Here is a 12,676-nt window from a genome sequence, read left to right on the forward strand (position 1 = left end):
TTGAGAAAATGTGACACATATACACCATGGAATACTATGCAGCCATAAAAAGTGATGAGTTCATGTCCTTTGTAGGGACATGGATGAAATTGGAAATCATCATTCTCAGTAAACTATCACAAGAACAAAAAACCAAACACCGCATATTCTCACTCATAGGTGGGAATTGAACAATGAGATCACATGGACACAGGAAGTGGAACATCACACTCTGGGGACTGTTGTGGGGTGGGGGGAGGCGGGAGGGATAGCATTGGGAGATATACCTAACGCTAGATGACAAGTTAGTGGGTGCAGCGCACCAGCATGGCACATGTATACATATGTAACTAACCTGCACAATGTGCACATGTACCCTAAAACTTAAAGTATAATAATAAAAGAAAAAAAAACTTAAAAAAAAAGAAAACTGGCACAAGACAGGGATGCCCTGTCTCACAACTCCTATTCAACATAGTGTTGGAAGTTCTGCCAGGGCAATCAGGCAGGAGAAGGGAATAAAGTGCATTCAATTAGGAAAAGAGGAAGTCAAATTGTTCCTGTTTGCAGATGACATGATTGTATATCTAGAAACACCCATTGTCTCAGCCCAAAATCTCCTTAAGCTGATAAGGAACTTCAGCAAAGTCTCAGGATACAAAATAAATGTGCAAAAATCACAAGCATTCTTATACACCAATAATAGACAAACAGAAAGCCAAATCATGAGTGAACTCCCATTGACAATTGCTTCAAATAGAATAAAATACCTAGGAATCCAACTCAAAGGGATGTGAAGGACCTCTTCAAGGAGAACTACAAACCACTGCTCAATGAAATAAAAGAGCATACAAACAAATGGAAGAACATTCCATGCTCATGGGTAGGAAGAATCAATGGCGTGAAAATTGCCATACTGCCCAAGGTAATTTATAGATTCAATGTCATCCCCATCAAGCTACCAATGACTTTCTTCACAGAATTGGAAAAAAACTACTTTAAAGTTCATATGGAACCAAAAAAGAGCCCACATCGCCAAGTCAATCCTAAGCCAAAAGAACAAAGCTGGAGGCATCACGCTACCTGACCTCAAACTATACTACAAGTCTGCAGTAACCAAAACAGCATGGTACTGGTACCAAAACAGAGATATACATCAATGGAACAGAACAGAGCCCTCAGAAAGAATGTCGCATGTCTACAACTATCTGATCTTTGACAAACCTGACAAAAACAAGGAATGGGGAAAGGATTCCCTATTTAATAAATGGTGCTGGGAAAACTGGTTAGCCTTATGTAGAAAGCTGAAACTGGATCCCTTCCTTACACCTTATACAAAAATCAATTCAAGATGGATTAAAGACTTACATGTTAGACCTAAAACCATACAAACCCTAGAAGAAAACCTAGGCAATACCATTCAGGACATAGGCATGGGCAAGGACTTCATGTCTAAAACACCAAAAGCAATGGCAACAGAAGCCAAAATTGACAAATGAGACCTAAGTAAACTAAAAAGCTTCTGCACAGCAAAAGAAACTACCAACAGAGTGAACAGGCAACCTACAGAATGGGAGAAAATTTTTGCAACCTACTCATCCGACAAAGGGCTAATATCCAGGATCTACAATGAACACAAACAAATTTACAAGAGAAAAACAAACAACCCCATCAAAAAGTGGGCAAAGTATATGAACAGACACTTTTCCAAAAAAGACATTTATGCAGCCAAAAAACACATGAAAAAATGCTCAACATCACTGGCCATCAGAGAAATGCAAATCAAAACCACAATGAGATAACATCTTACACCAGTTGGAATGGAGATCATTAAAAAGTCAGGAAACAACAGGTGCTGGAGAGGATGTGGAGAAATAGGAACACATTTACACTGTTGGTGGGACTGTAAACTAGTTCAACCATTGAGGAAGACAGTGTGGCAATTCCTCAGGGATCTAGAACTAGAAATACCATTTGACCCAGCCATCCCATTACTGGGTATATACCCAAATTATTATAAATCTTGCTGCTGTAAAGACACATGCACACATATGTTTATTGCGACTCTATTCACAATAGGAAAGACTTGGAACCAACCCAAATGTCCAACAGTGATAGACTGGATTAAGAAAATGTGGCACATATACACCATGGAATACTATGCAGCCGTAAAGAAGAATGAGTTCTTGTCTTTTGTAGGGACATGGATGAAGCTGGAAACCGTCATTCTCAGCAAATTATCACAAGGACAAAAAACCAAACACTGCATATTCTCACTCATAGGTGAGAATTGAACAATGAGAAAACTTGGACACAGGAAGAGGAACATCACACACCAGGGCCTGTTGAGGGGTGGGGGAAGCGGGGAGGGATAGCATTGGGAGATATACCTAATGTAAATGACGAGTTAATGGGTGCAGCACCCCATCATGGCGCATGTATACATATGTAAGAAACCTGTGCGTTGTGCACATGTACCCTAGAACTTAAAGTATAATAAAAAAAGAAGAGTATTAAAAAAAGAGTGAAGATAAAATAAAAAAAAGAAAAATTGTAGAACTCTTAAATACAATAACTGAAATTAAGAATTCAGTGGAATGATTTAACAACAGAATAAACAAATAATTGAACAGAATTTGTGAACTGGAAGATGGCTCAGAAGAAACTGAGATCCAAAGGTAGAGGGAAATGGGGGTAAAATTCAAATGTATCTGTTTAATATTCCCAAAGATACTGTGTTTGTTATATATAAAAATAAACACATATTTAAAAATCCCTTCACACCTTCATACAGTAGTGTGCTGTGTGCAAGTGAACAAAAAGTTAGTATAGTTATTATTACACAATACTAGTGGAACATTGGTGTTATGTTAATCCTCTTTAACTTGATGATCATTATTCCAGTGCTTCTATGTGTCCTGACTTCACAGATGCTTGTTGTTGCAAAATCCCGAGGTAAAACAAAGGTCCTGATATTATGGGCAGAGTGAGAGTGTGGCTGACTACAGTTTCTCCAGTTGAGGCCCTTCTGAGTGTACCCACTGAACAGCTTTGGGGAAGGAGGCTAAGGCCTACTATGTAAGTTGTCAGGGAGGGAGGTGACCTCCTAAGAAGTGATGGAGACTTCATGACATGGTCGAACTTGAAATGATTAGTGAAGTGGTATAATCTGTGAATCCAGCAAAATACAATTATGTTCCTAGCTCTCCTTATTTTTAAGATTTCTGAGGAAATCTATAGATTAGAAATTAAATAAATCAATTCCAGTTTGCTTTTCAGAGAAGTAAATTGTGCAGATTCTCATATTAGCACTGCTTCATAGAAAAATAGGACAGTATATTAACATTTCTCTCTGTTTTTATTTTTTATTTTTGCCATAACAGAGCTTTCTAACAATGTCCACGTAAACATTTTCTAACATCTCTGGCAATTTCCATTTCTGTTTTTTTCTTCTAAAAATTTAGCTAGCTAAATTTAAATGTTGAATTTGGATATTGTTTTCTTTCTTTTCCCCTCAGATTTATTTTAAATTGTAAATAACAATGCACTAGTTTCTTGAGTGTGCCCTGAGGGAGGTAGGTTTTGTAATCCAGTGACCCCCAACCTGGGGTGGTTATGGTCTGCAGATGGAAAAAGTGGAATCCTGCAGGGGAAAAGGAAGCATCCAGATCTCTCCCCCTACTTTATACTGGACAAAGTCTTAACAGCTAATGTCTTCCATCCTGGAGACTAGGCCGTCCATCTTCAGGACTTTCTCTTCAACCAATTGTCTGCTTAGTGGAATCTGGCAATTCAAGAAATATCCTCTTGTTTCTGATTTCTCATTTGATTTTTAATCCCAGTACACTTTTTAGATGATCACATAGATTCTGGGAACAATGGAAGAAACAATAACAAAGGAAAAATAGTGGGGCAAGATGGCCAAATAGAAACCTTCACCAATTGTCCTCCCCACAGGAACAGCAAATTGAACAACTATTCACACAAAAAAGCACCTTCATAAGAAAGAAAAACCAGATGAGCATTCACAGTACCTGGTTTAACTTCAGGTAACTGAAAGAGGCACTGAAGAGTTAGGAAGGACAGTCTTGAATTGCCTACATAACCCCTCCCTTAACCCCCTCAGCAATGGCTGTATGGTGTGGAGAGAGAATCTGTGTGCTTGATGGGAGGGAAAGTGCAGTGATTGTGGGACTTTGCATTGGAACTCAGTGCTACCCTGTCACAGTGGAAAGCAACACCATGCAGAACTCAGCTGGTGACCATTGAAGGAGGATTTAGAACAGACCTAGTCAGAGGAGAATCACCCATCTGGAAGCCCTTTCAGGGCAGGCTAAAGTGCTCTGGGGGTCCTAAATAAACTTGAAAGGCAGTCTAGGGCAGAAGAAATAGCAAGACCTGCTGAGCAAGTCCTGGTTCTGTGCTGGTCTCAGAGCCAGTGGACTTGGGCGACATGCAACCTAATGAAACACCAGCCAGTGTGGCCAAAGGAGTGCTTGTGCCACTTCTCTCCCAACCTCCGGTAGCACAGCTCAAAGCTCTGGGAGAGATTCCTTCCCTCCACTTGAGGAGAAGAGAGGGAATAATAAAGAGGATTTTGTCTTGCAACTTGGATGCCAGCTCAGCCACAGTAGGTTAGGGCACTGGGCAGAGTTTTGAGGCAGCCATTCCAAGCCCTAGCTCCCAAGTGACATTTCTAGACATGCTTTGGGCCAGAAGGGAACCAGTTGCCTTGAAGAGAAGGACCCAGTCCTGGCAGAATTTATCATCTGCTGGCTAAAGAGCGTTTGGACCCTGAATAATCAGTAATGGTAGGCAGGCAGTACTCACCATGCCTTGGGTAATACTCAGAGACATACTGGTTTTAAATTTGATCCACCACATTCCCATCTGTGGTGGCTATGGGGATAGATTCTTTCTGCTTGAGAAAAGGAGTAGAAGAGTAAAGCGAAGAGTAAAAGGCACTTTGTCTTGCAACTCAGGTACCAGCTCAGCCAGTGAGACAGAACACCAAGTAGGCTCTTGGGGTCTCTGATTCCAGGCCTTGGATCTTGAATGGTATTTCTGGACCTGCCCTGGGCCAGAGGGAAGCCCACTGCCTTAATAGGGTGAGTCTCAGGCATGGCAGCATTTACCACAAGATGACTGAAGAGCCACTGGGCCTTGAGTGAACATTGGCAGTACCCAGGCAGGACTCATTGCAGGCCTGGGGCAGTGGTGGCCATGGGGAGAGACTTTTTTGCTTGTGGAAATGGAAGGCAATAGTGGGAAGGACTTGGATTTGTGGCTTGGGTGGCAACTCAGCAGAACTCGAGTAGACCACCAGGTAGATTTCTTTTCTTTTTTTTTTTTTGCTTGCATCGTTTCTTTCTTTCTTTCTTTTTTTTTATTATTATACTTTAAGTTCTAGGGTACATGTGCACAATGTGCAGGTTTGTTACATATGTATACATGAAAGAACCTATCTCTGGAAATGCTTTGTGATGTGTGGATTCATGTCACAGAATTAAACCTTTTTTTTGAGTCAGCAGCTTGGAAACACTTTTTTTTTTTTGTAGAATCTGTGAAGGGACATTTGGGAGCCCATTATGGCCTATAATGAAAAACTGAATATCCTGTAGCAAAAACTAGAAAGAAGCTCTGTGAAAATGATTCTTGATGTGTGGATTCATCTCACAGAGTTAAACTTTTCTTTTTATTCAGCAGGTTGGAAACACACTTTTTGGAAAATCAACAAAAGACATTTGGGAGCCCATTGAGCCCAATAGCAAAAAACCGAATATACTGTGATAAAAACTAGCAAGAATCTATCTGGGAAAATGCTTTCCAATGTGTGGATTCATTTAGAAGATTAAACCTTTTTTTTGATTCACCATGTTGCAAACATTTCTTTTGTAGAATCTACAAAAGATATTTGGGAGTCCATTGAGTCCTATAGTGAAAAAGTGAATATCCCAGGATAAAAACTAGAAAGAAGCTCTCTGTGAAAACGCTTTGCAATGTGTGGATTCATCTCACAGAGTTAAACCTTTCTTTTGATTCAGCACCCTGGAAATGCTGTTTTTGTAGAATCTGTGAAGAGACATTTGAGAACCCTTGAGGCCTGTAGTGAAAACGAATATTCACACACACACACAAAAAATAACTAAAAAGAAACTATATGTGGAAACTCTTTGCAATTTATGCATTCATCTCCCAGAGTTGAATCTTTACTTTGATTCAGCAGGATGGAAAATCTTTTTTTGTAGAATCTGTGATGGGACATTTAAAAGCCCATTGAGGGCTGGGCGTGGTAGCTCACACCTGTAATCCCAGCACTTTGTGAGGGCGAGGCAGATCATGAGGTCAGGAGATCAAGACCATCCTGGCTAACATGGTGAAACCCCGTCTCTACTAAAAAATAGAAAAAATTAACTGGGCGTTGGGGCAGGCGCCTGTAGTACCAGCTACTTGGGAGGCTGAAGAATGAGAATGGCATGAACCCGGGAGGCAGAGCTTGCAGTGAGCCAAGATCACACCACTGCACTCCAGCCTGGGTGACAGAGCGAAACTCCATCTCAAAAAAAAAAAAAAAAGCCCATTGAGGACTTTGGTGAAAAACCAAATATTCCTCGAAAAAAAAAAAAGTAGCTATCTGTGGAAAGACTATGGAATGTGGGATCCATCTAACGAAGTTTAACCTTTCTTTTTATTTGCAGGTTGGAAACACTCTTATTGTAGAACCTGCCCAGGGATAATTGGGAGCCCATTGAGGCCTGTAGTGAAAAACTGAAAATCCCACCATACACACTGAAAAGAAACTATCTGTGAAAAACACTTTGCAATGTGTGGATTCATTTTACAGAGTTAAACATTTCTTTGCAAACACTCTCTTTGGAAATGTATGAAAGATATTTTGGAGCCCTTGAGGCCTATAGTGATAAATTGTATATCCTGTGATTAAAAAGTAGAATGAAATGAATTGTGAAATGCTTTGCCATGGGTGGATTTGTCTCATGGAGGTAAACCTTTCTTTCGATTCAGTAGGTAGGAAACATTCTTTTTGTAGAATGTGCAAAGGGACATTTTGGGAGCCCACTGAGGCCCATAGTGAAAAACCTAATATCCCGTGATAAAAACCAGAAAAAAGCTGTGTGTAAAAACGCTTTGCCATGTGAGGATACATCTCAAAGAGTTAAACCTTTGCTCTGATTCTGCAGGTTGGAAACACTCTCTTGGTAGAATATGAGAAGGGACATTTGAGAGCCCATGGAGGCCTATATTGAAAAACTGAATATTTTGTGATATAAACTAGAAAGAAGCTATTTTTGAAAATGCTTTGTAATGTGAGGATTCATCTCACAATGGTAAGCCATTCTTTTGATTCTGTAGGTTGAAAACACTCGTTATTTAGAATCTGTGAAGGGAAATTCGGGAGCCACTTGAGGCCTATAGTGAAAAACTGAAAATCCCCAGATAAAAACTAGAAAAAGCTGTCTGTGAAAACAGTTTGTGATGTGTGAAATCATCTCAAAGAGTTAAACCTTTCTTTTGATTGAGCAGGTATGAAACAATGTTTTTGTAGAATCTGCAAAGGGACATTTGGAAGCCCATTGAGGCCTATAGTGAAAAACCAAATATTCTGTGTAAAAACTAGAAATAAGATATATGTGAAAATGATTGGGATGTGAGGATTCAACTCAAAGAGTTAAACCTTCCTTTTGATTCAGCAGGTTGGAAACACTCTTTTGGAAGCATCTGCAAAGGGACATTTGTGAGCCAATAGAGCCCTGTAGGGAAAACTGAATATTTCCCCCTTGGCCAAAAAAAAACAAAAACAAAAACAAAAACAAAAACAAAAACAAAAAAACAAAAAACAGCAACAAAAAACCCTCAAAGCTATTTGAGGACATGCTTTGTGATGTGTGGATTCATCTCGCAGAAGTAAACCTTAATTTTGATTCAGCAGGTTGGAAACACTCTTGTTGTAGAATGTGTACAGGGATATTTGGAAGCTCTTAGAGGCACACATGGAAAAACCGAGTATCCCGCAATAAAAACTAGAAAGAATATATCTGTGAAAATGCTTTGCCATGTGTGGATAAATCAAATCTAGATAAACCTTTCTTTACATTCAGCATGTTGGAAACACTCTTCTTATAGAATCTGTGAACGGACATTTTGGGGTCCATTGATGCCTATACTGAAAAACTGACTATTCTGAAATGAAAACTAGAAAAAAACTACCTGTGGAAACGCTCTGTGAAGTGTGGATTCATCTCACAAAGTTAAAACTTTCTATTGAAAGGTTGAATACACTTTTTTTTTTTGTAGATTCTGCCAAGGCACATATGGGAGGCCATTGAGGCCTAGAGTGAAAAGCCGAATATACCACAAGAAAAACTAGAAAAAGTGATCTGAGGAAACACTTTGCAATGTGTGGATTCAACTCACCAAGTTGAACAATTCTTTGATTCAGCAGGTTGGGAACACTATTTTTATAGCATTTGCAAAGGGACATTTGGGAGTCCATTGAGGCCTTTATTGAAGACCTGAATATCCCGTGACAAAAACTAGAAAGAAGCTATCTGTGGAAAGGCTTCGAGATGTGTGGATGTATCTCACAGAGTTAAACACTTCTTTTGATTCAGCAGGTTGGAAAGCCTCTTTTTGTAGAATCGGTGAAAGGACATATAGGAGCCCTTTTAGGCCTATAGTCAAAAACTGAATATCCCATGATAAAAACTTGAAGAAAGCTATCTGTGTAAACACTATGCAATGTGGTTTCATCTTACAGACTTACACCTTTCTTTTGATTCAGCATGTTGGAAATACTCTTTTTGTAGAATCTGTGAAGGTATATTTTGGAGCCCATTGGGGTATATAGTAGAAAATTAAATATCCCATAATCAAAACTATAAAGAAGTTATCTGTGAAAACACTTCACAATGTGTGGATTCAGCTCATAGATTTAAACCTTTCTTTCTATTCAGCATGTTGGAAACACTCAGTTTGTAGAATTTAAGAAGGACATTTGAAAGCCCGTTGAGGCCTACAGTGAAAAACAGAATATCACATGAAAAAACTAGAAAGAAACTTCCTTTGAAAACGCTTGTGATGTGTGGACTCATCTCACAGAGGTAAACCTTTCTTTTGATTCAGTTGATTGGAAACATTCTTTTTGTAGAATCTGCAAATGGACATTTGGGAACTCATTTAGGCATATAGTGAAAAACCAAATATTCCATGACACAAACTAGAAGGAGGCTATTGTGAAAACGTTTTGCAATGAGTGGATTCATCTGGCAGAGTTAAACCTTTCTTTTATTCAGCATGTTTGAAACACACTTCCTGTAGAATCTATGAAGGGACATTTGGGAGCCCATTGTGGCCTATAGTGAAAAACTGAATATTACCCCCAAAAAACTAGAAAGAAGCTATTTGTGCTAATGCTTTGCAGTGTGTGGATTTACCTCACAGAGTTAAACCTTTTTTTGATTCAACTGGTTGGAAACACTATTTTTGTATAATCTGCAAAGGACATTTGGGAACCCATTCAGGCCTTTAGTGAAAAATCAAATATCCCACAATACAAACTATAAAGTAGCTGTCTGTGAAAAGGCTCTGCCATGTGTGGATTCATATCACAGAGATAAACCTGTCTTTTAAATCAGCAGGTTGGAAACACTCTTGTTCTAGAATCTGCAAAGGGACATTTGGAAGCCAATTAAGGCCTATAGCTAAAAACCAATTATTCCCCCCAAATAACTAAAATGAAGCTATCTGTGGAAATGCTTTGTGAAGTGTTGATTTATCTCACAAAGTTAAACCTTTCTTTTGATTCATCTCGTTGGAAACCCTCTTTTTGTAGAATCTGCGCAGGGGCATTTGGGAACCCATTGAGGCCTGTAGTGATGAACTTATAATCCCATGATAAAAACTAAAAAGAAGTTTTCTGTGAAAATGCTTTGAACTTTGTGGAATTATCTCACAGAGTTAAATGTTTCTTTTGATTCAGCAGGTTGGAAACACTCTTTTAGTAGAATCTGTGCAGGGACACATCAGAATCCATTGAGGCCTATAGTGAAAATCTGATATCCCATGATAAAAACTCAAAAGAAGCTAACTGTTAAATGCTTTGTGCTTTGTGGATTCATCTCACATAGTTAAACCTTTTTTTTTTGATTCAGATGGTTGGAAACACTCTTTTTGTACAATCTATGCAAAGACATTTTGAAACACAATGAGTTGTATAGTGAAAAACAGGTGTCATGTGATAAAAACAAGAAAGAAGCTACTTGTTAAAATGCTTTGCACTTTATTCATTCATCTCACAGAGTTAAACCACTGTTTTGATTCATCAGGTTGGAATCACTCTTTTTGTAGTATCTGCACAAGGATATTTGGGAGTCCCTTGAGACATATAGTGATAATCAGAATATCCTGTGATAAAAACTAAAAAGAAGCTATCTATGAAAATGCTTTGTGCTTTGTGGATCATCTCACAGAGTTAAAACTTTCCTTTGAATCAGCAGGTTCAAAAGACTCTTTTTGTAGAATCTGTGCAGGGTCTTTTGGGAGCCCATTGAGGCCTATAGTGATAAAAAGAGTTTTCTGCAATAAAAACTAAAAAAGATATCTGTGAAAGTGCTTTCCACTTTATGGATTCATTCCACAAGTTAAAACATTCTTTTGATTCAGTAGGATGAAAATATTCTTCCTGGAGAATCTTAGTAGGAAGATTTCTGAGTCCATTGAGGCCTATAGTGAAGAAAAGAAAACTCCATGATAAAAACTAGAGGGAAGTATCTGAGAAAATGCTTTGCAATGTGTGGATTCATCTCACAGAGTTTAACCTTTCTTTTGAGGCAGCAGGTTGGAAACACTCTTTTTGTAGAATCTGCACAAGGACATTTGGTGTTCTATTGAGGCCTATAGTGATAAACTGAATATCCCACAATAAAAACTAAAAAGAAGCTATCTGTGAAAACACTTTACACCTTGAGGATTCATCTCACAAATTTAAACCTTTCTTTTAATTCAGCAGGTTGGAAACACTCTTTTTGTAGTATCTGTTTAGTGACACTTAGTGCCTATTGAGGCCTCGAGTGATAAACTGATTATCCTGCAATTAAAACAACAAAAAAGCTATTCTTAAAAGTTCTTTGTGCTTTGTAGATTCATTTCACAGGATTAAACCTTTCTTTTGATTCATCAGGTTGGAAACACTCTTTTTGTAGAATCTGTGCAAGGACATTTCTAAGCCCATTGAAGCCTATAGTGATAAACTGAATATCCTTTGATAAAAACTGAAAAGAAGCTATCTATGATAATGCTTTGTGCTTTGTGGATTCACCTCACAGATTTTAACCTTTCTTTTGATTCAGCAGGTAGGAAACACTCTTCTTGTAGAATCTGTATAGGGACACTTCGGAGCCCATTGGTGCCTGTAGTGAAAAACTGATATTTCGTGATAAAAACTAGAAAGAAGCTCCCTGTAAAAACACTCAGGATGTGTGGATTAATCTAACAGAGTTACACCTTTATTTTGATTCAGGTGGTTGGAAACACTTTTCTTGTAGAATCTGTGCAGGGACTTTTGGGAGCCCATTGGGACTTAGAGTGATAAACCAATAATCCTGCAAACAAACAAACAAACAAAAACCAAAAAAGAAGCTATCTGTGAGAATGCTTTGTGCTTTCTGGATTCATCCCAGTGTTAAACCTTTTTTGATTCAGCAGGTTGGAAACACTCATTTTGTAGAGTCTGCACAAAGACATTTCAGAGCCCAATGAGCCCTATAGTGCAAAATCGACATCCCATGATGAAAACTAGAAAGCAGCACTCTGTGAAAAACACTTTGCACTTTGTGGATTCATCTCACAGCGTTAAACCTTTCTTTTGATTGAGCAGGTTCAGAAACACTGTTTTTGTAGAATCTGCACAGGGACATTCAGGAGCCTAATGAGGCCTATTAGTGCAAAACAGATATCCTGTTATAAAAATTAGAAAGAAGGTCTCTGTAAAAACGTTTTCCAATGTGTAGTTTCATCTCAAAGTGTTAAACCTTTCTTATTATTCAGCAGGTTGGAAACCCTCTTTTTGTAGATCTTCACAGGGACATTTGGGAGCACATTGAGGCCTATAGTGATAAACTGAATACCACAGAATAAAAACAAAAATAATCTATCTGTAAAAATGCTTTGTGCTTAGTGGACTTATCTCACACAGTTAAAACTTTCCTTTAATTAAGTATGTTGGAAACACTCTTTTTGTAGATTCTGCACAAGGACATTTGGGAGTTCATTTAGGCCTACAATGATGAATCAAATGTCCATGATAAATACTAGGAAGATGCTATCTTTGAAAACGCTTGGCATTTTATTAGGACATTAGGAAACTTTTTGAGGACTATAGTGATAAATTGAATATATCATGATAAAAACTAAAAAGAAGCTATCTGTGAAAATGCTTTGCACACTGTGGATTCATCTCACAGAGTTAAGCCATTCTTTTGATTCAGCACGTTAAAAACACTGTTTTTGTAGAATGCTCAGGGACACTTTTAAAGTCATTAAGGCCTATAGTGCAAAACTGATATCCTGTGAAAAAAACTGGAAAGAAGCTACCTGTGAAATTGATTTGCAATTTGTGAATTCATCTCACAAAGTTAAACCTATATTTGAATTAGCAGCTTTGTGATGTGTAGAGTCATCT

The sequence above is a fragment of the Homo sapiens genome, chromosome 4 (assembly GCF_000001405.40).
Source record: "Homo sapiens chromosome 4, GRCh38.p14 Primary Assembly".
NCBI lineage: Eukaryota > Metazoa > Chordata > Mammalia > Primates > Hominidae > Homo > Homo sapiens.